General features: G+C 38.5%; 1 protein-coding gene and 1 long non-coding RNA gene across 41 annotated transcripts in view; one reads left to right on the top strand and one right to left on the bottom strand.

Annotated features, from left to right (window-relative positions):
• Positions 1 to 22512, top strand: part of DYM (dymeclin) — a 424259-nt gene that overhangs the window by 342352 nt on the left and 59395 nt on the right. For 36 of the 40 annotated variants that reach the window (NM_001374439.1, XM_047437559.1, XM_047437553.1 and 33 more), the window contains one exon: positions 20779 to 20892. The exons of 3 other annotated variants lie outside the window; for them this stretch is intronic. In NM_001374439.1, the coding sequence (NP_001361368.1) occupies positions 20779 to 20892 (114 nt within the window). Of the gene's footprint in view, positions 1 to 3678; positions 3787 to 20778; positions 20893 to 22512 lie in introns of those variants that run through there. One more of the 40 variants, XM_047437557.1, reaches the window with a different exon arrangement.
• LOC124904298 (uncharacterized) lies at positions 1189 to 1898 on the bottom strand. Its single transcript, XR_007066361.1, has 2 exons — positions 1810 to 1898; positions 1189 to 1354 (listed from the first exon to the last, which is right to left on the bottom strand). It is a non-coding gene; the product is annotated as an uncharacterized LOC124904298 (long non-coding RNA).

Below are 22512 nucleotides of genomic sequence, written 5' to 3'. Positions count from 1 at the left end.
GATATGGTTTTAAAGCTGGAATTTTACTAGTTTTTACTGTCAAAAGATATCTTTATTTTCAAGATTCAACACAGGTTGCCAAATTGCTTTCCAGAAAAACTGTAGAATTTATGCCTGTGGGCCGGGTGTGGTGGCTGATGCCTATAATCCCAGCTACTTGAGAGGCTGAGGCAGGAGAATCGCTTGAACCCAGGAAATAGAGGTTGCAGTGAGCCGAGATCACACCATTGTACTCTGGCCTGAGCAACGAGAGTAAAACTCCGTCTCACACACAAAAAAAAAAAAAAAAAAAAAAAAGGCTGGGCACAGTGGCTTATGCCTGTAATCCCAGCACTTTGGGAGGCCGAGATGGGCAGATCACGAGGTCGGGAGATCGAGACCATCCTGGCTAACACAGTGAAACCAACCCCATCTCTGCTAAAGCTACTATAATATATGTTCCATCAACACAAAGTAGTAAACAAAGAAAGACGAAGACAAAGGAGCCAGGCTTAACCAAAGGAGAGCACTGAAGGCAGTTCCCAAGAATACACTGTAGTGTGTAGAACCAGTGCACAGTGGGTGTGGCAGGTAGCAGGTCTCCATAGAAAGAGCAGATTTGAGAATGTTACTTGATCTGTTTGACTATTTAGAGAGGAGTTTTAGAGTTCTGTTAAAAAGTTTGTAGCTGTGTTAGAGATTGGATATTTGCAACATACAACCAAGAAAAGTCTAGAATCTAGAATATAACAATAAAATATATATTAATAATAGATAAATAACTCAATAGAAAAACTAACAAGAATCGAACAGGCACTCCCAAAAGAGGAACTCTAAATGGCTAATAAAGATATGAAACACATAGGATGTATTAACTGCTGGATACTCTGGAATCTACACAATTAAATGTGAGTTTAACCTACAGTTGAGTATACTGTTGCAAATCCATTCATTGATTTTCATGGCTTTTTCATGATTGCTGGTAAACAGAAATTAATATTAAAACTCTTCTGTCAGCTTAATTTCATTGGCTTTCGTTAAGCTGCTTCAACTATATACCTAACGGTTGCAGCTATAGCAAAATATTTTGCCATGGACACTCTTGTCACTTTCCTAAACTTATATCGACATCATTTAGGTATCATTAACAGAATCGGGGAATTTGGGTATAGTTGCCATCAGTGCAATCAAGATAAAGCAGAAACACCATTTCACACAAGGATGTTTATTTTAAGAATCAAACTTTGACATTTTAAGGGAAATCTTTATGAACCAGGACTCCATGTAGCTTCACTGATATTTAGGATGTGTGTGAGAGCATCCTTAGCAACTTCTCGATTATTTCATCTCTGGCCACATGTCCTTCTTGTTAACTCTGAGTTTTAATTAAGAAGTATTGGTGTTAATAAGATCTCTTTAAAATTGAGAAGTGTCAGTGTTAATAAGATTATGAAACAAAGTTTTGCCTAAGGAACACCTATCACGAGTTAACTCCGTCTTCTTTTATGGGATAGATTATTTTTGACAACATGGTAAATTGTGGTTTATAGTCTAAGAATTCCTGTTAGTTTTATGCTTTGATAGAAGATGATAATGCAAAAGTACCAGTTATTAAGGAAAGTAAAGAGTCCATGGGGGCTGAGGGGTATCTCATGGGAGAATGCCATCCCTGCTGTCATCTCAGCTCTCAAAGAAACTATCTGGAACTCAAGCAGGGCCTTTATCCATTCCTCTTAACAGTTATTCCTGCAAGCAGTCTTAAGGATTATAACATTCAGTAGAAATCGTTCTCTGTATGAAGGCAACTTTATAGGCTAGCTGTTTACTTACTTCTGAAAAGCTTTTTCTAACCATGTTATTCATGAATTTGTCCAAATTCATTTCTATTTCTTCCCAGTAGTATTTTTGGAGGTAAAATACTGAGTTTAAGACTCATTATGCTTGTGGGTAAAGGTTTCACAAAACTCTTTCCCCTTTTACATGAGAAATTGGCCTTGGGTTAAGATGCTTCTAGCTCAGTTCTCTAGAAATCTAATGGAGGTAGAATGTCAGTTGTGTTACCAAGCAACACTGCTATGATAAAATGATGATGTGATAAAATGACATTTGATTGGTAAGCTGAGTCATTACTTGGAGGACTACGAATGAACTACAAATACTTGATGAGAAGCCATCACTTTGGGCTTCTCCGAATGAGAGAATTCTTATAACTGGGCATGTCCTTTACAAGGACGTAGAAGCTGAGACTGTCACAAGGATATTGGTTTCTATTTGAGACATGGTTTCTAAGGTAGGGTGGCTATTGCATCTACCTACAGTAGTCTCATTCTCTTGCATCTGAGCTGTCATTTGAAGGGTCAAAGACTAGCCCAAAAACTGCTATAAGGATTCCCAAGGAAAACAAAAACCTGTGAGACTATGCTGTTGGCATGCTGCTTTTCCTATCCTTCTATCTTTTTAAAATTAATCTGATGCAAAGTGTGGCCTTTTATAGTCTTGAGACTCTTGATGTCTAATATTTCGTCTAAGAATATCACCCAAGAATGGGCACTGTAATATTAAAATAGTATTTTCTTACATTTGTTTATTAATGTATCTCTTTCAAGCTCCAGGAGATATTCCTGGTTTTCCAAGATTTATTCAGATCTTTACATTCTAGAAATATCCAACATGTCCATTTTCAGTCTTCATGTTTCTAAACTGTGTCATCCCATTCATTTCAGTCTGCCCTTGTGGCAGTCCTCTATCCCATCTGTTCTAACTTTTACCTTTCTCTGGACCTCCCTCATTCCAATTTCTTTTTTCATTCCTTCCTATCTTTCTTTTTTCCTTTAAAAAAATGTTTAAAGATAGTCACCTGAACTATGGACTATGTATGTCTGCTAATATACACCTGCAGTAAATGGGAGAGAAATAATCTCTAATTCCCAGTACCTTTCATTGTGATAGGCAATATTTTCTTTGTATTCCTGACAAAAGACTAAACCAGAGATTTTTTTTTTTCCCTGTGGTCATAGCTGCAGTAGCTGCAATATTACACATCATTTGGAGTATTTAGCTTTAACATTTTATTTAAACCACATCAAAAGCCATTTGCTTCTTTTCTAATCATCACTAGCTTTTATTGCATACTTGCTAAGCACTTACGTGCAATAACTTACTTAATCCTCATTAAAAAATAAACCATGAGGTATATTTCATTTTAGCCCTCAATTTACAGATAAAGAAACCAAGTTAGAAAGATTAATTAACTTGTTTACTGTCACACATTCAGCAAGTGATACAGCGAGAACTTAAACCCAGAGTTTGATGATAAGGCCTTTGTTTGTAATAATTCTGCCTAACCACTATACACATTCACTAAATGCTCCCACAGTTGCCTATGAAACCATCTGATCATATCCACAAACCTAATTACTTTCTCTTTCAAAATCAGTTCTAATAATGTCAAATCAGTCTTTATTCCATCAGTGGTGCAATGAGGAACGTTCTTAGTAACCAGGCAATTGATATCCTTAAAAATGTCTCTGAGAGCCAGGCGTGGTGGTACACTGTTATCCCAGCTGCTCAGGAGACTGAGTCAGGAGAATCTCTTGAGCCCAGAAATTCAAGACCATCTCTTAAACACACACACACACACACACGAAAGAAAAAGAAAAAAAAAGTCTCTGAAAGACCATATTAATTTTTTTTAATCAGGACACACAGAACCATGCAAAGAATTTAAACTACATCCATTTGAAACACATTCTCCTTTGGAAGAAGTGAAAAGCAGAGTGGAGGTGAGGAAGTAGAAAGGACCTCACTGTAAGTACACAGTATAGAACCATATAGAAGTAAAAGCAGGATGTTAAGTTGGACTTATACCCAGTGCTCACTTTTCTGTCATTGTCGGAATAATGGGCCACTTATTTACACTTCACCTGTATGCAGTGAAAACTGCATTCTCAGGCTAAACATTTGACTATATGCTGTTATGCAGTTCTTAAAACCACATAAACAAATGCCTAAACATTTTTAAGTACACCTTCTAAATGATGGGAATGAAGCTTGAGTGCCTCATGTATATGACCTCTTTTACCATTCTTAATCCATGTGAGCTAGGATTATTATCCCACTTTACAGATAAGAAAATAAAGATGCTGAGAGGTTTCTCAGATGCTATTAATATACATTCCTGCCTAAGGATCATTGTCTTGGATAGTTATCACATGTTATTGCAGGGGGCTTTATGTCATTGGCCCTTTCGCCATCCCTAGGAGGAAGGGAGAGCAGGGCTAGAGAAGGGAAATAGTAGGCTTGAGATCACTTAGCTAGCAAGTCAGTCAACCAGGCCCTGAATCCAGGTTCTCATTCTATTAAATCCCGTGTTTTCAGCATTCACTTGGATAAACCTAATTAAGATTCCAAATGAGCAGGTTTTCCAACAACTTTTTGTTGAATACTATCATCCAAAATAGTGCTGGGCACACTGGAAATTCATTTAAAAAACATTTTAAACTCCTTTTACATATTTTGAAAAGATGCTGTGATAAAGATATAAATAACATCTCTACTGTGTGCCTTTTTCAGTACTTTACCTTCCCCATCTATCCCCCAAAGATCCCTGAAATTTTGGCTTAAACAAGCTTTTGCTACTTTCTTCTTTCATAGAGTTAACCTTCAGAAGTTAACTCTGTGAAAGACTGTAGAAGAAAAAAGTTGGTGGAGGAGACGAATCTACTGTTATTTTTAGTGGGCAGGGAGTTGAGAGTTGATTATTTTTGGTTAAGACATTTAGCAGCACTCAGTATCTCAGAAGACAGAAGTGGCTAACCTTGGAGCACTTTTAACGTCTGCAGAAGGAATTAGATAGATGTTTTTCAAGTGCCTACATTTTTATTACACACTGGTGCCTATCTCGCCCATCTAAAACATAAGGTGATATGATCAGGCTGAATTAAGCAGCAAGACAAGGTAGAATATAACACCAAACAAGAGAGAACATAAAATAAATTGTCTGGTTACCTAAGAAATGGCTGAATATGAGTAGAGGACAGATGCAATGAACTATAACCATTGTATAGTAAGGTACAGGCAAGAAATCTTGTTATCTCTGGACATTAGATCTTGTGTATTTCCAGACCTGACCATCCTTATCAAGCTCTAAACTAGCACTTTAGGCTACTGACTTGACAGTCCCACAATTGTTAAACAAGGTTAAATCATAATTCTTGATTTTCTGCAAAAACCAATGCAATATAAAATATTTTCTTCTATAGTCTTTCTTATCCCAATATATGACATCAATATCTACCCAGTTGCTTAAGGAAAAAAAAAAGAGTAAGAAAGGAGAATAATGAGAGCTCGTTAGAATACCGGTAGGAGATTGCAGATTTAAAGAATGTAATCAGGTGCGTTTGAGCCAAAACTTGAAGCAGGTAGAGAGTGAGCTATGCAGCTATCTGGGGACAGAGCACTCTAGGCACAGAGAATAGTGGGTGGGACGGAGTTATGGGGAACTGGCTGGGAAGGTGGAGTGAACATTCTGTGATAATGAGGGGCAGATGGTTACAGGGTATGCATATTTGTCAAAACTGGTTGAACTGTACCATTAAAATGAGTATGTTTATTTTATTGTATGAAATTGTACCTCAGTAAATTTACTACTAAAAAATAAATTCCCTACAGTGGACTTCTGCTTAGGATATAGAAAGCTAGGAAGAGTTCTACCCTAACAAAGAGAAAAAGAGGTAAACTACAAAATCATAACTTTTCTTGAACCTATCAATGAGCTGAGGTCACAGGACAACCAAATAGTCTAGATCCCAAGGAGGGGTCATCGGCCCACCCACCCCTCAAGTTGAGGTGAGACACCAGGACTGGATCACCTGTGGCAGAGCACAGGGGTAGGTAGCCACCATACAAGTGGGTAAAAAGAAATCAGATGCAATTTTAATAACTTGCTAAAGGTTGAGTGTGGAGTAGCATGACATTACAGAACACCCAGGAGACCCAAGCACCAGAGGAATTTGCACTCACAGGCTGTTTTCCACTGAGACTGGGGGCACAGCAGGAAGCCAGAGAGCCTCCCAAGGTGATGTACCAATAGAAAAATGCGTAGCATCATTCCCCTGCCAGACCTTTCTTTCATATGGTGCAAAAGCCTTAGATTGCTGGCAGGGGTGGGGGTGCGGAGGGGAGGGGGGTGCGGAGAGGAGGCGGGTGCAGAGGCAGGCACCAAACCTTGTTGCCCTCGGGGCATAGGTAGAGACCCATTATTGCACGTAAAAGATAAAACAAAAAAACTCTCTACTTCTGGGTAAAGGGCAGGAAACTGTCGCAGCCCCAGGGTTCTATAAGAGTACCATTAGAGGTATCCTACCAACAACTCATCACAGATACAGGGCAAAGTCTGGCTGCCATCGGAAGAAAGGGAAGAGAAAGCTAAGAAAGCCTTATGCCCTAGGCCCAGGCATAGAGAGCCCCATTTAAGACTGAGGTCTTAGGACAGCACGTAGAGAATCCCCTACCTTCTGCCACCAGCCTAGCAAGTACTGAGTAACAAGCAGCAGCATCTGCTGCTGGGAAAGATCAAGGGCATGGATACACACCCTGCTCTGGGACCCAGGTATGCAGAACTCACTGAAAGCAGAACGTGGAGCATGAACGTTGAAAAACCTGTGGCACTTCAGATCCCAGCAAAGCACAAGGCATCATTAGAGGATGTGGTACACTGAAGGTAGCCACAGCAACAGCAAAACTCAAATTTAGCTCACCTTCTGAGTGAATCAGCTCAACCTCCAAGCCTGACCTAAGAAGAGATGTGCCCTAATTTATCATAAATAGTATTTCTGTCAGTCTCTACAGTTCTACACATGATGTCTAACATTCAGCCAAGCATTATGAGACATAAAAAGGCAAGAAAAATGTAATGGTGGCAACAGACCCAGACTCAGTGATGACTCAGATGTTGGAACTGTCAGGCTGGGACTGTAATTATGATTTATCAGTTTCAAAGATCTGGTGTGAAGGTCAACTAAGTGGGACCCATCAGGCAAATGCAGCCCACAGCTTGCCTTTGTACAGCCTGTGAAATACGTATGTTTTTTACATTTTTAAAGGGTTGTTTAAAAAAAAAAAAGAAGAATATGTTACAGAAACTATATTGGGACCCACAAAACTTAAAATATTTACTACCTGGTTCTTTATAGAAGACATATACCAACCTTTGTCCTGGGGGAAAAGGTGACAACATATATAAACAGTTCCAGAGAGAGATGGGAACTGTAAGAAAAAATAAAATGGGAATGCTAGAAGTAAAAAACATGTGACAGACAAAGAATTGCTATGACTGGCTCATTAGTGGGCTTGTGAAAAAAATCTGTGATCTTGAAGATAGGTCAGTAGAAATTATGCAAATAAATACAATAAGAAAAACATGTGAAAAATGAGAACCTATCATCCAAGAGCTATAGGACGATATCAGATGATTCAATATACATATAATTGGAGTCTCACAAGGAGAAGAGAGAAAGAACAGGTCAGAAGAAATATTTAAAGAGATAATAGCTGAGAATTTTCCAAAAATACTGACATCAAACCACAGATCCAGGAAGCCCAGAGAACCCCAATCAGGATAAATCCATTTTTTTAAAAGACATTATATTTAAACATCTGAAAATCAAAGATAAAAGAAAAAACACAGTCTTGAATTCAGCCAGAGAAAAAAGAAACATTATATACAGAGGAACAAAGATAGTAACAGCAGTTTACTTGGCAGAACCTAGCTAGGCAAGTCAGATAATGAAGTGACATCTTTATAAGGCTAAAATGAAAAAAAAACAAAATCTTACCCTCAAAAATGTCTTTAAAAACTGAATACAAAATAATGACATTTCAAACAAAACTGAGAGAACTTACTGCTAGTGTGTACTATAGACTAGTTAATGGAAGTTATTCAAACAGAAGAACTATCATATCTGATAGAAACTTGGATCTACAAAAAGAAATTAAGAGCTCCAAAAATAGCAAAAATAAAGGTAAACATAAAAAGCTTTTTCTTATGTTGATTCACTGTATAAAATAATTGACTGTTGGAAGAAGAGGTCCTCAAACTTTTTCTGTAAGTGAGCAGATTGTAAATATTTTAGTCTTCACAGGCCACATAGTCCCTATCACAATTATTCTACTCAACAATTGTAATTCAATGGCAGCCATAGACTATGTGTAAACAAGTGGGTATGGCTATGTTCCAATAAAACTTTATTTACAAAAACAGACAACAGGCCAGATTTGGCCCACAGGCTATAGGTTGCCAACCCATTTTGTCTAAAATAAAGATAGTAACAATGTATTGTGGGGTTTATAACATATAAAAGTAAGATGTGTGTCAGCAGTAGCACAAAGGATGAGAGGGAAGAATTGGAAGTTGACACATGTGTGTTGGGAGATAATTTTCCACAGATTTCATCTTGTGAGCAAAGGCACTGACTGTCCTTTGCTCTAGATTATCTTTTCAAAGATATTTGTATCTCCTTCTGGAGTAAAAGATAGGCATGGTTACTGACCACTCTAAGAGATTCGGGTTCCCTAAGCTCAGGGTTCTGTCCTTTAACATAATTTACTGCATGTGCAGGTGTTGTCTGACCCTTGTCACATAACCCTAAGCAAACTGGGGCTTGGGGAGCCAGTGTGGTAATGCAGATGCTCTGATCACTGCTATTGCTGTGACTAACAAACTTCCCTCCGTCTCTGACCCAGAAATATCTCTTCTTCCAGGATCCATGAACTATAGACTGGATAACTTGTTAACTCACAAGTAGGGTACCATATCACTTTTCACAGTTCTTCACAGTGTCAAGTAGTATAATATTATTTGAAGATAGACTGTGATAATTAAAGGTGTATAGTATAAACTCTAGGGCAACCACTAAAGAAAACATTAAAATAGAAATATAAGTAGTAAGTAAAAGATGAAGATAAAATAGAAATCATAAAATTATACCCAGTCCAAAGGCAGGCAGGAAAAGCAGAATAAATAATAGTGGAACAACAACAACAAAATAGTGGAACAACAACAACAAAAATCCATCCATGTATTTAAATCCTACATGCCAATAATTAAATCAAATGCAAATAATCCTGATGCCTCAATTAAAAGACAGAAATTTTCAGATTGGATAAAAAGCAAGACCTAACTATGTGCTGTCTATAAGAAACCCACCTTAAACATAAAGAAATAGATTGGTTAAAAGCAAAAGGATAAAATAACTTTTACTACGTAAGCATTAATAAAAAAAAAAAGGGGTAGGATGACTATATTAATAGCAGACAAAGTAGACTTCAACACAGGGAGCATTACCAGGGATAAAGAGGGACTCCATGTAATGATAAAGAAGTCAATTCACCAAGGAGACGTAACAACCATAAATGTGTATACAACAGAGCTTCGAAATGCATGAAATAAAAACTGATAGAATGGCAAGAAGACACAAACAAACCCATAATTGGAGAAGTCAACACTTCTTTCTCAGTAATTGATACAGCAAATAAACAGAAAATTTGTGATGATACAGAAGACCCAAACAATACTAACCACCAACTTGATGAGTTCACATTTATAGAACATACCACCCAACAACATCAGTGCACGTGAACCATTCTCTAAGAGAGACCATGTATGGGGCCGTAAAACAAACCTCAGCAAATTTAAATGAGATGAGATCACCTAGAGTATATTCTTTGACCACAGTGAAATTAAACTATTGAATAGAAATCAGTAAGAAGAGCCAAGATGGCCGAATAGGAACAGCTCCAGTCTACAGCTCCCAGTGTGAGCGATGCAGAAGACGGGTGATTTCTGCATTTCCAACTGAGATACCGGGTTCATCTCATTGGGGAGTGCCGGAAAGTGGGTGTAGGACAGTAGGTGCAGCGCACTGCGCGTGAGCCGAAGCAGGGCGAGGCATTGCCTCACCCGGGAAGCACAAGGGGTCAGTGAATTCCCTTTCCTAGTCAAAGAAAGGGGTGACAGACGGCACCTGGAAAATCGGGTCACTCCCACCCTAATACTGTGCTTTTCCAACGGTCTTAGCAAATGGCACACCAGGAGATTATATCCCGTGCCTGGCTCGGAGGGTCCTACACCCATGGAGCCTCGCTCATTGCTAGCACAGTAGTCTGAGATCAAACTGCAAGGTGGCAGTGAGGCTGGGGGAGGGGCATCCGCCATTGCCAAGGCTTGAGTAGGTAAACAAAGTGGCCAGGAAGCTCGAACTGGGTGGAGCCCACCACAGCTCAAGGAGGCCTGCCTGCCTCTGTAGACTCCACGTCTTGGGGCAGGGCATTGCCAAACAAAAGGCAGCAGAATCCTCTGCAGACTTAAATGTCCCTGTCTGACAGCTTTGAAGAGAGTAGTGGTTCTCCCAGCATGCAGCTGGAGATCTGAGAATGGACAGACTGCCTTCTCAAGTGGGTCCCTGACCCCTGAGTAGCCTAACTGGGAGGCACCCCCCAGTAGGGGCAGACTGACACTTCACACGGCCGGGTACTCGTCTCAGACAAAACTTCTAGAGGAACAATCAGGCAGCAACATTTGCTGCTCACCAATATCCGCTGTTCTGTAGCCTCCGCTGCTGATACCCAGGCAAACAGCGTCTGGAGTGGACCTCCAGCAAACTCCAACAGACCTGCAGCTGAGGGTCCTGACTGTTAGAAGGAAAACTAACAAACAGAAAGGACATCCACACCAAAACCCCATCTGTACATGACCATCATCAAAGACCAAAGGTAGATAAAATCACAAAGATGGGGAAAAAACAGAGCAGAAAACCTGGAAACTCTAAAAATCAGAGTGCCTCTCCTCCTCCAAAGGAACGCAGCTCCTCACCAGCAACGGAACAAAGCTGGACGGAGAATGACTTTGAAGAGTTGAGAGAAGAAGGCTTCAGATGATCAAATTACTCCTAGCTAAAGGAGGAAGTTTGAACCCATGGCAAAGAAGTTAAAAATCGTGAAAAAAAATTAGACGAATGGCTAACTAGAATAACCAATGCACAGAAGTCCTTAAAGGACCTAATGGAGCTGAAAACCAAGGAACGAGAACTACGTGACGAATGCACAAGCCTCAGTAGCCACTTCGATCAACTGGAAGAAAGAGTATCAGTGATGGAAGATCAAATGAATGAAATGAAGCGAGAAGAGAAGTTTAGAGAAAAAAGAATAAAAAGAAATGAACAAAGCCTCCAAGAAATATGGGACTATGTGAAAAGACCGAATCTACGTCTGATTGGTGTACCTGAAAGTGACGGGGAGAATGGAACCAAGTTGGAAAACATTCTGCAGGATATTATCCAGGAGAACTTCCCCAATCTAGCAAGGCAGGCCAACATTCAAATTCAGGAAATACAGAGAACGCCACAAAGATACTCCTCGAGAAGAGCAACTCCAAGACACGTAATTGTCAGATTCACTAAAGTTGCAATGAAGGAAAAAATGTTAAGGGCAGCCAGAGACAAAGGTCGGGTTACCCACAAAGGGAAGCCCATCAGACTAACAGCTGATCTCTCGGCAGAAACTCTCCAAGCCAGAAGAGAGTGGGGGCCAATATTCAACATTCTTAAAGAAAAGAATTTTCAACCCAGAATTTCATATCCAGCCAAACTAAGCTTCGTAAGTGAAGGAGAAATAAAATCCTTTACAGACAAGCAAATGCTGAGAGATTTTCTCACCACCAGGCCTGCCCTAAAAGAGCTCCTGAAGGAAGCACTAAACATAGAAAGGAACAACCGGTACCAGCCACTGCAAAAACTTGCCAAATTGTAAAGACCATTGAGGCTGGGAAGAAACTGCATCGACTAACAAGCAAAATAACCAACTAACATCATAATGACAGGATCAAATTCACACATAACAATATTAACCTTAAATGTAAATGGGCTAAATGCTCCAATTAAAAGACACAGACTGGCAAATTGGATAAAGAGTCAAGACCCATCAGTGTGCTGTGTTCAGGAAACCCATCTCACATGCAGAGACACAAATAGGCTCAGAATAAAGGGATGGAGGAAGATCTACCAAGCAAATGGAAAACAAAAGGCAGGGGTTGCAATCCTAGTCTCTGATAAAACAGACTTTAAACCAACAAAGGTCAAAAGAGAGAAAGAAGGCCATTACATAATGGTAAAGGGTTCAATTCAACAAGAAGAGCTAACTATCCTAAATATATATGCACCCAATACAGGAGCACCCAGATTCATAAAGCAAGTCCTTAGAGACCTACAAAGAGACTTAGACTCCCACACAATAATAATGGGAGACTCTAACACCCCACTGTCAACATTAGACAGATCAACAAGACAGAAAGTTAACAAGGATATCCAGGAACTGAGCTCAGCTCTTAACCAAGCAGACCTAATTGACATCTACAGAACTCTCCACCCCAAATCAGCAGAATATACATTCTTCTCAGCACCACACCACACTTATTCCAAAATTGACCACTTACTTGGAAGTAAAGCTCTCCTCAGCAAATGTAAAAGAACAGAAATTATAACAAACTGTCTCTCAGACCACAGTGCAGTCAAACTAGAACTCAGGATTAAGAAACTCACTCAAAACCGCTCAACTACATGGAAACTGAACAACCTGCTCCTGAATAACTACTGGATACATAACGAAATGAAGGCAGAAATAAAGATATTCTTTGAAACCAAAGAGAACAAAGACACAACATACCAGAATCTCTGGGACACATTCAAAGCAGTGTGTAGAGGGAAATTTATGGCACTAAATGCCCACAAGAGAAAGCAGGACAGATCTAAAATTGACACCCTAACATCACAATTAAAAGAACTAGAGAAGCAAGAGCAAACACATTCAAAAGCTAGCAGAAGGCAAGAAATAACTAAGAGCAGAGCAGAACTGAAGGAGATAGAGACACAAAAAACCCTTCAAAAAATCAATGAATCCAGGAGCTGGTTTTTTGAAAAGATCAACAAAATTGATAGACTGCTAGCAAGACTAATAAAGAAGAAAAGAGACAAGAATCAAATAGACGCAATAAAAAATGATAAGGGAGATATTACCACCGATCCCACAGAAATACAAACTGCCATCAGAGAATGCTATAAGCACCTCTACGCAAATAAACTAGAAAATCTAGAAGAAATGGATAAATTCCTGGACACACACCCTCCCAAGACTAAACCAGGAAGAAGTTGAATCTCTGAATAGACCAATAACAGGCTCTGAAATTGAGGCAATAATTAATAGCTTACCAACCAAAAAAAGTCCAGGACCAGATGGATTCACAGCTGAATTCTACCAGAGGTACAAAGAGGAGCTGGTACTATTCCTTCTGAAACTATTCCAATCAATAGAAAAAGAGGGAATCCTCCCTAACTCATTTTATGAGGCCAGCATCATCCTGATACCAAAGCCTGGCGGAGACACAACAAAAAAAGAGAATTTTAGACCAATATCCCTGATGAACATTGGTGCAAAAATCCTGATAAAATACTGGCAAACCAAATCCAGCAGCACATCAAAAACCTTATCCACCATGATCAAGTGGGCTTCATCCCTAGGATGCAAGGCTGGTTCAACATACCAAATCAATAAACATAATCCAGCATATAAACAGAACCAATGACAAAAACCATATGATTATCTCAATAGATGCATAAAAGGCCTTTGACAAAATTCAACAACACTTCATGCTAAAAACTCAATAAATTCAGTATTGATGGGACGTATCTCAAAATAATAAGAGCTATCTATGAAAGACCCACAGCCAGTATCATACTGAATGGGCAAAAACTGGAAGCATTCCCTTTGAAAACTGGCACACGACAGGGATGCCTTCTCTCACCACTCCTATTCAACATAGTATTGGAAGTTCAGGCCAGGGCAATCAGGCAGGGGAAGGAAATAAAGGATATTCAATTAGGAAAAGAGGAAGTCAAATTGTCCCTTTTTGCAGATGACATGATTGTATATCTAGAAAACCCCGTCATCTCAGCCCAAAATCTCCTCAAGCTGATAGGCAACTTCAGCAAAGTCTCAGGTTACAAAATCAATGTGCAAAAATCACAAGCATTCTTATACACCAATAACAGACAAACAGAGAGCCAAATCATGAGTGAACTCCCATTCACAATTGCTTCAAAGAGAATAAAATACCTAGGAATCCAACTTACAAGGGATGTGAAGGATCTCTTCAAGGAGAACTACAAACCACTGCTTAATGAAATAAAAGAGGATACAAACAAATGGAAGAACATTCCATGCTCATGGGTAGGAAGAATCAATATCGTGATAATGGCCATACTGCCCAAGGTAATTTAGAGATTCAATGCCATCCCCATCAAGCTACCAATGACCTTCTTCACAGAATTGGAAAAAACTACTTTGAAGTTCATATGGAACCAAAAAAGAGCCCGCATCGCCAAGTCAATCCTAAGCCAAAAGAACAAAGCTGGAGGCATCACGCTACCTGACTTCAAACTATACTACAAGGCTACAGTAACCAAAACAGCATGGTACTGGTACCAAAACAGAGACATAGACCAATGGAACAGAACAGAGCCCTCAGAAATAACGCCGCATATCTACAACCATCTGATCTTTGACAAACCTGACAAAAACAAGAAATGGGGAAAGGATTCCCTATTTAATAAATGGTGCTGGGAAACTGGCTAGCCATATGTAGAAAGCTGAAACTGGATCCCTTCCTTACACCTTATACAAAAATTAATTCAAGATGGATTAAAGACTTACATGTTAGACCTAAAACCATAAAAACCCTAGAAGAAAACCTAGGCAATACCATTCAGGACATAGACATAGGCAAGGACTTCATGTCTAAAACACCAAAAGCAATGGCAACAAAAGCTAAAATTGACAAATGGGATGTAATTAAACTAAAGAGCTTCTGCACAGCAAAAGAAACTACCATCAGAGTGAACAGGCAACCTACAGAATGGGAGAAAATTTTTGCCATCTACCCATCTGACAAGGGGCTAATATCCAGAATCTACAATGAACTCAAACAAATTTACAAGAAAAAAACAACCCCACCAAAAAGTGAGTGAAGGATATGAACAGACACTTCTCAAAAGAAGACATTTATGCAGCCAAAAGACACATGAAAAAATGCTCATCATCACTGGCCATCAGAGAAATGCAAATCAAAACCACAATGAGATACCATCTCACACCAGTTAGAATGGCAATCATTAAAAAGTCAGGAAACAACAGGTGCTGGGGAGGGTGTGGAGAAATAGGAACACTCTTACACTGTTGGTGGGACTGTAAACTAGTTCAACCATTGTGGAAGTCAGTGTGGCGATTCCTCAAGGATCTAGAACTAGAAATACCATTTGACCCAGCAATCCCATTACTGGATATATACCCAAAGGATTATAAATGATGCTGCTATAAAGACACATGCACACGTGTGTTTATTGCAGCACTATTCACAATAGCAAAGACTTGGAACCAAGCCAAATGTCCATCAATGATAGACTGGATTAAGAAAATGTGGCACATATACACCATGGAATACTATGCAGCCATAAAAAAGGATGAGTTCATGTCCTTTGTAGGGACATGGATGAAGCTGGAAACCATCATTTTCAGCAAACTATCGCAAGGACAAAAAAACCAAACACCACAAGTTCTCACTCAGGTGGGAATTGAACAATGAGAACACATGGACACAGGAAGGGGAACGTCACACACTGGGGCCTGTTGTGGGGTTGGGGGAGAGGGGACGGATAGCATTTGGAGATATACCTAATGTTAAATGACGAGTTAGTGGGTGCAGCACACAAACATGGCACATGTATACATATGTAACTAACCTGCACATTGTGCACGTGTACCCTAAAACTGAAAGTATTAAAAAAAAGAAATAAGATATCTGGAAAATCTCCAAATACTTGGAAATTGAACAATACACCCATGTGTCAAAAAGAAGTTTACAAGGGAAATAGAACAAATTTAAGGTGAACATAAATGAAACTGTAACATGTCAAAATTTGTGGGACCCAGCAAAAGCCCAGAGAGAAATTTACAGCCTTAAATAAGTTAATGTCTGCACAGCGCAAAGTGCTTTGCGCATGGTAAGTGCTCACAGAGCGTTAGCTCTTACTGTTATTAGGTGTGTATCAGTACCCTCATTTACAAAATGACAAAGTTGCCACATTATCATTATTGGTTCCTATGCAGTAGATGCTGCAACTTTGTCACTTTGAAGATATTATAAGAAGAGGTGGGATTTAAACCCAAGCAGTCCGACACCAGGTAAGTTCTCTAAACCACTGCATCATGCTACATCTAGATGTTGAGTGTTTTACAAGTCACATTGCTAGTATCAGAGGCAAGACTCAAATGTAAGCCTTCTTTGAGTAGTTCATTATCCACTTTACCATGATGTCTATTCTAATTATACAGGTTTGATCTGTCTTATCTCACAAATTACACTGTGTCTTTCTTCAAGAGAGAAAATGGTATCATCTATTTATTTCCCTGGTAAATCCTCGGGAGAGCTCCTCTGCTGAATGGATTGTCAATATATGTATTGATTAAAATACAGTAACTTGAGGGGAAACTCAAGTCAATGAGGAAATATATATGTATTTTACATGTTTATCGTTGTCTTAAAAAATAAAAATAAAATAAAATAAAACTTAGCTGTCTACTTCTACCTCTTAGGAGAGTGGCCATTTTTAGCAAGCAAGCATTTTGCCTGAGGAGCACATACTAGCTCCTTTTTATTCTCCTCTACTCCAGAAAAGCTTCTCATTTCTATTAATCTGTGATCTATTAATAATAATCATTCACTTGTTTCATGACAGGTGGTTAAATGTGATTTGACATTACTCAAAGTAAACAACTGATTAATCAGTATATGACAGTGGGCAATCACTGTTCAAAGCTAATAGCATAATGGAAGGTAATATGCTGTACTTGGATTTCATGAGTTACAGCCAAATATTGTAGGTAGAGGAGGGTTGTAAAACATGCGCTTTGGAAAAGTACCTTCCTTTGAAAGGTTGTCTTTGAATTACACTGACAAAGCATTCATCCCCACTTTCACTAAAGGTTTTACTTGAATGTTTTCTGTTATTGGCTGTGTCTCATGCAGAGATTTTCAGAGGAATAAAAGTTCATCTATTTTAATAGTTTTAATGGTTGCTATACAAATGGATAAAAGCCACACATCTGTTGTAGTCATCATCACTAAAAGTACTATTATATGCAAAATTATAACCTGGGAGTAGGAAATAGAAGCTCTTATCTTTGAATGAATTGTTTCACGTTCTTTGCTGGTGTTGCAGTCAGACAACATCTGAAAGGTTTGGCTGAACAACTTACACCTTTCACTTAGATATCTCCTATTTGAAAAACTAAGCTAATGCTCCATTTTGCTACATAGGAATTGCCGGAGACATGATAAAGTAGGAAGAAATACCTGAGCTGGAGTCCTACTCCTCCCACTTGCCTGGGCCACCCCAGTCTAGTTTGTCTCTGATCCTTTTTACAATTCTGTAGGACAGAGATTTTTATCAGCCTCATGGGATTGTCATGAGAATTAAACAAATAGTATATGTACAGCACACAGTCCATGATAAACATTCAGGATAGATTTGTTTCCTTCGGTTTTGACACATAAATTATACTTCCCTTCTGCAAGTGGTTGTTTTATCATTTTCTAAAATCATGTGAGTTTGAATGCAAAAACATGAGAATGTCAGCTTTAAAACATACAAATGAGAACCAGTTTGAAAAAGGAATTTAGTTGGAAACCCAGCTTCATGCCTCCTCTGCAGCTCTCCCAGTGGAAATGGAAATTCCTTGTGGCTTAGAGGAAAGCCAGTATAGGCCGCAGAGTCAACAAAGCAAAACTGTCATTGCATTACTTTGTTCTTGGTGGTGTGACACATAAGTACACTCCCTTTTGTTGGTTTGTCGTGTCTTTGAGTAGTAAGTGAATACTGTGAGTTCCCTTTAACTCTGATTATGTGCCTTTTGTTATCTCGATTAGTGATTATCAAAGCGGATGGCTCCACATGCCCCAGAGATTGCACTAACAGTTCATCCGTAGAAGCATGGAAAGAAAATATTAGAGCTGTTATTTATTCATCTAAAAATAAGGAGATTTAGTTTTACTAATAGTATTGGCCTTTACAACCTTCCAGGGTCTGTGTCAGCCTCAGTACTCCAGATATCCCGAGGGAGGAGATAGGAGTTCCTCAACTTGTAGGGCTTGGCATACATGCGCTCACCTGTTCATTCACGTAAAGCTTAGTGTAGTATATGTGTTCCTGGTTACAGTATCTAGATTTAGTTAAACCCTCACGAAATAGCGTGTTTCCCCACACACTGAAGGTGATAGAAAAATATAAGCACATATGACAAAAGATAATGGCAGAGCTGGCATCCCCCTCCTCCTGGAACAAGTGCCACATTACAAGGGAAAAACAGTGATGAACCAGTCTAATCTCACAGAAAATGGATCCATAAAAGTTATCAGGAAGACTTTTAGGCACTATGGATTTAATATTCACTGTAATAAACGATGCATCTTACCGTGGGTGAATACTGTGCTTGCTGATGGTCATGTGAAATTGCTGTGATTAGTAATCTGTAATTACCCAGATTATTTTCAATGACATTTTAATGAGTACAAAAAACATGTTTTGTATCATTGGTTTTTTTAATCTAATTGATTTTATCTTTATCTCATTCTTTTAAATTTATTTTATGAACATTTTATAATATGTAAAACATCAGTGCTGTAGTATATTGCATGATTTATAAAGAACTAGAACATATATTGCAAGCACATCCTCATTTTTTTACTTGTAGATGTGTACAACTTGAAAAGTTTGGAAACCTCTGGTCTGGATTCTGACTGATCATCAAAATCACCTGGAGAGCCTGATGTATAATAGAAGGTCCCTGACTAGGCCCTGGGATCAGAATTTCACAAGGCTTCTCAGCTACTTCTGATGATCAGCCATGCTTGAGAACTACTCCTTGTCTGTATGATCTACTGCTATAAACAAAACAAAAATCCAGTAGTGAAATATCAGCTTTCAGCATGTTAGAAAGAAAAAAAAAATTCAGTAAGCCTAAAGCATATGTAACATCTATCTACTTTTTAATTACCATTTTTTTATTTTTTAGAATGTGTTTTTAACAGATATGCTCCTACTTTTTAAATATTTTTTGGTCAAAGAAGATAATATGCATAGGTGTTAGATTGACCCATATGAAATTTCTAACATTAAACCATTTTTTTACCAACAAAATTGGCATTTCATATGGTTAACCAATTCTTTTCTCAGAAAAACTATGCTCAGTTTACAACCTGTGAAGATATTTACACAAAAGGAAAGCATTTATTTTGTGTATTCATTGTTGCATATTTTAAAAATAGGATTTTAATCTATTACAATATGTTTTGCTATCTGTGTTGTGTCTTTTTTCAGATATTTATTCACTATATTATAAAAATCAATTTTTGGACCTGCTGTGTCTAAACTCTGTGAACAAAATATTAATCCCAGAAACTCAAAAAGAACTTAAAATCCGACATGGGGAAGAACAAGGCCCACAGGCACGTAGCGAAAAGCCCACTTGTGGACAAAATAAGCAGCTTGCAAAGTAGCTGGTGGTGCCAGCAAACTGCTTGAGAAAGAAATGGTTTATCTGGAATCACAAGCAGTGTCACCAGCCATGAGCTGCCTTTGTTCTCACTCATTGCCACAGAATTGTGAGGCACATGCTTGTTAATGGCTGTGGCGCCAGCTAAGTCTCTTTACCTTCCAGAACAAATGCATTTAGTGGCATTTATGTAATATAGTGTACTTTCCACTAGAATGGATAAGACAAAAGTTATTGTACTCTTAAACAATTAGCATTTAGGAGAGTAATTCTGAAAGAAAATGCATAAAAACGTTTGTGAAGGATTGTTTGTAACTTAATATATTTTACCTATAAAATAGAAGACATAAAAGGTAATGCTCAACTTTACAAAAACACAATAATTTTTTATATTTTTGCATGTCTGACTATAAACACCTAAATGTTATTCTCTTGAATTTAAAAGGGATCTGCAGTCTTCTTGATTTATGAACATTGTGGTTTTAAAAATAATTTGCTGAAAAATGATGTTTTGTTTTCATTTTTTAGTGACAAATATTTAGGGACCGTGTATTTCCAGAATGCTACTGTGTTAATATCTTGCTGCATACTTTGGGCTGTGCTATAACATGAAGCAAAAGTAATTATAGGTTGCTATTTGTTATCCCTGGTGATCATGATAAGGGAAATGTGGCTAAATTCATAGATAATCCCCAAAACATCATTTTAGCCATTAGTTTCAAATTCTTTCCTGTTAAGCCCTTTTGAGAGAGAGAGAGAGAGAGAGAGAGAGAGAGAGAGAGAGCTAATATTAAGCTTCAAAAGTGATAGGCTTTAGGGTTTAGCTTTCTCTCCCGACTTTCTGTTGGATACTGCTCTATAAACGAAATATAAATGCAAGGTCAGGCAGCACAAGAAAGAGTAGAATTCAGGAGGCTACTTAATTCACAGAATGAATAATCAGCCCTGGATATTGAGGGGTTGCCTCTGATTCGGCTATCAAACCCAACGGAGAGCAAACTGCGTTTAGGAGGGCTAGTGAATTAAAAGCCGGGTCACTGTAGGAATGGAATCATGATAGTTTGACTACCATGTGAGAAAGGCGGCTACTAAAAATACATTTCATACCTCTTCTTGTTTAAAAAATAACACTTTACATTACAGGTGATCTCCTTCTTTAGCTCAAGGTTGCTGCAAGCTGGAGCTGAGCTGTCAGTGGAACGGGTCCTGGAAATCATTAAGCAAGGCGTCGTTGCGCTGCCCAAAGACAGACTGAAGGTAAGAAGGCTAAAGAAATGTCCACTTGACACTGCCGTGTCCCTTGATGTAAATGTTAGTGTCTTAGCAGACCCTATCCAGAATCATGCTGCTTATCCAGTACATAGACTAGAAGGGCTCCTCAGAACTGTGACAAAGGTTTCTGACAGCTTTTCAAAAGAAGCATTAATACTTTCATGCCACTGCATATCCTACAAGTAGCCATGGCATGCACTATAATTCATATACTGTTAATAAAAGGACACCTTATTTTTTTAACCCAGTGAAACAAATTCGGCCTTAAGAGTATCATCAAGAGTTAATGGGAAGGTGATGATGAAGATGATCACAAGAGTAGCTAATATTTCCATAGTGTGACTCAGTGCCACACAGGTTCTAAATGTGTTATATCAAGCTCATTCAGTCCCTACCACAGCCCTTTGCGGTGGGTAGTGGTATCATCCTAATTTTTCAGATGAGGAAACTGATGTACAGTGAGGTTAAGAAACTTAGCCAAAGCCATACAACTGGAAAATGATGGAGCCTGCAGATTGAAACCCAGGAAGTCTATCTCCAGTGCCCACATTCATAATTGCTGCACTGTTTACTGTGTGCCTGGGATGTAATAGTGGAAAGAGATGCACTTCGTGGAGAAGGTGGGGGAAGTGCTGTATTTGAAGAAGGCATTTACATCTGTTTGATAGATGTATTCCTGAAGCAGTCTCACAATATAAAACTCATACTTCAAGACTAATTATCCCATAAGAAAAAGATGTAAAGAAGATCCTTTGGGGAATGCATGAATGTACAGCATTGCAGCTTACTTTTACTTTACTGTTCTTTTTAGTTTTTTCTTCATTAGCTCTAATTTTTTAGAGTGCTTTCACCTAAATTACCAACACAGGAGGTCATAGTGGATATTTGGCCTTCATAGTGTTTTGTCACAGTTCACGTCTGTTCCAGTGTTGTTACTGTTTTTGGGGGCTATGTTTTTCAGCACTATCACTAGAACCACTGCTTAATGAATGCTTGAGAGATATTGTTGTAGGATATAAAAATATTTTCAATTATAATAACAGAGTTTGTAAAATAACAGCACATTAGTCATCATAATCATTTACTGAAGTTCCACTGTACATAAACAACAGGGAGATTCACACGGTACTGTGCAAAGATGGCAAATGTTCTGTTTATCAGCCAAAGTGGCACCACCATGTGGTAATAGCATAAAAACAGGTTAGAGTTCACTGGGCCCTCCAGCTTGGATGTGTTCCTATTCCAGATAATTTTTTTAAATATAGAGAATTCATATTGTTTCCATTTTTACATAAAGTAAGACCTTGGTTTGTTGGTTGGTTTGGGGGTATTTTTGTGGGATTTTTTTGAACTATTTCAAATTTATGTAAACTATACCATGTGAACCAGTACAAAAAAATCTATGAAGATTAAAGTGGCTACTCCCAGGAAGTGATGGATCTTGGTGTGTAAGCTCAGTCAAGAACAAAGTAGAAATATCGAGGCTGCCAAAAAAGGACACTGCAATGGAGTCTGGGGAAGGTTAATCTTGTAGTTCACTGTAATACTTACCTTAAAGCAAAATGAATTACAGTGTGCAGGCTAAGTGCTGGAATGTTAATATTT

This window comes from Homo sapiens, chromosome 18, assembly GCF_000001405.40.
Source record: "Homo sapiens chromosome 18, GRCh38.p14 Primary Assembly".
Classification (NCBI taxonomy): Eukaryota; Metazoa; Chordata; class Mammalia; order Primates; family Hominidae; genus Homo; species Homo sapiens.
The sequence above is the reverse complement of the archived record's forward strand: the minus strand, read 5'-3'. Positions and strand labels throughout refer to the sequence as shown.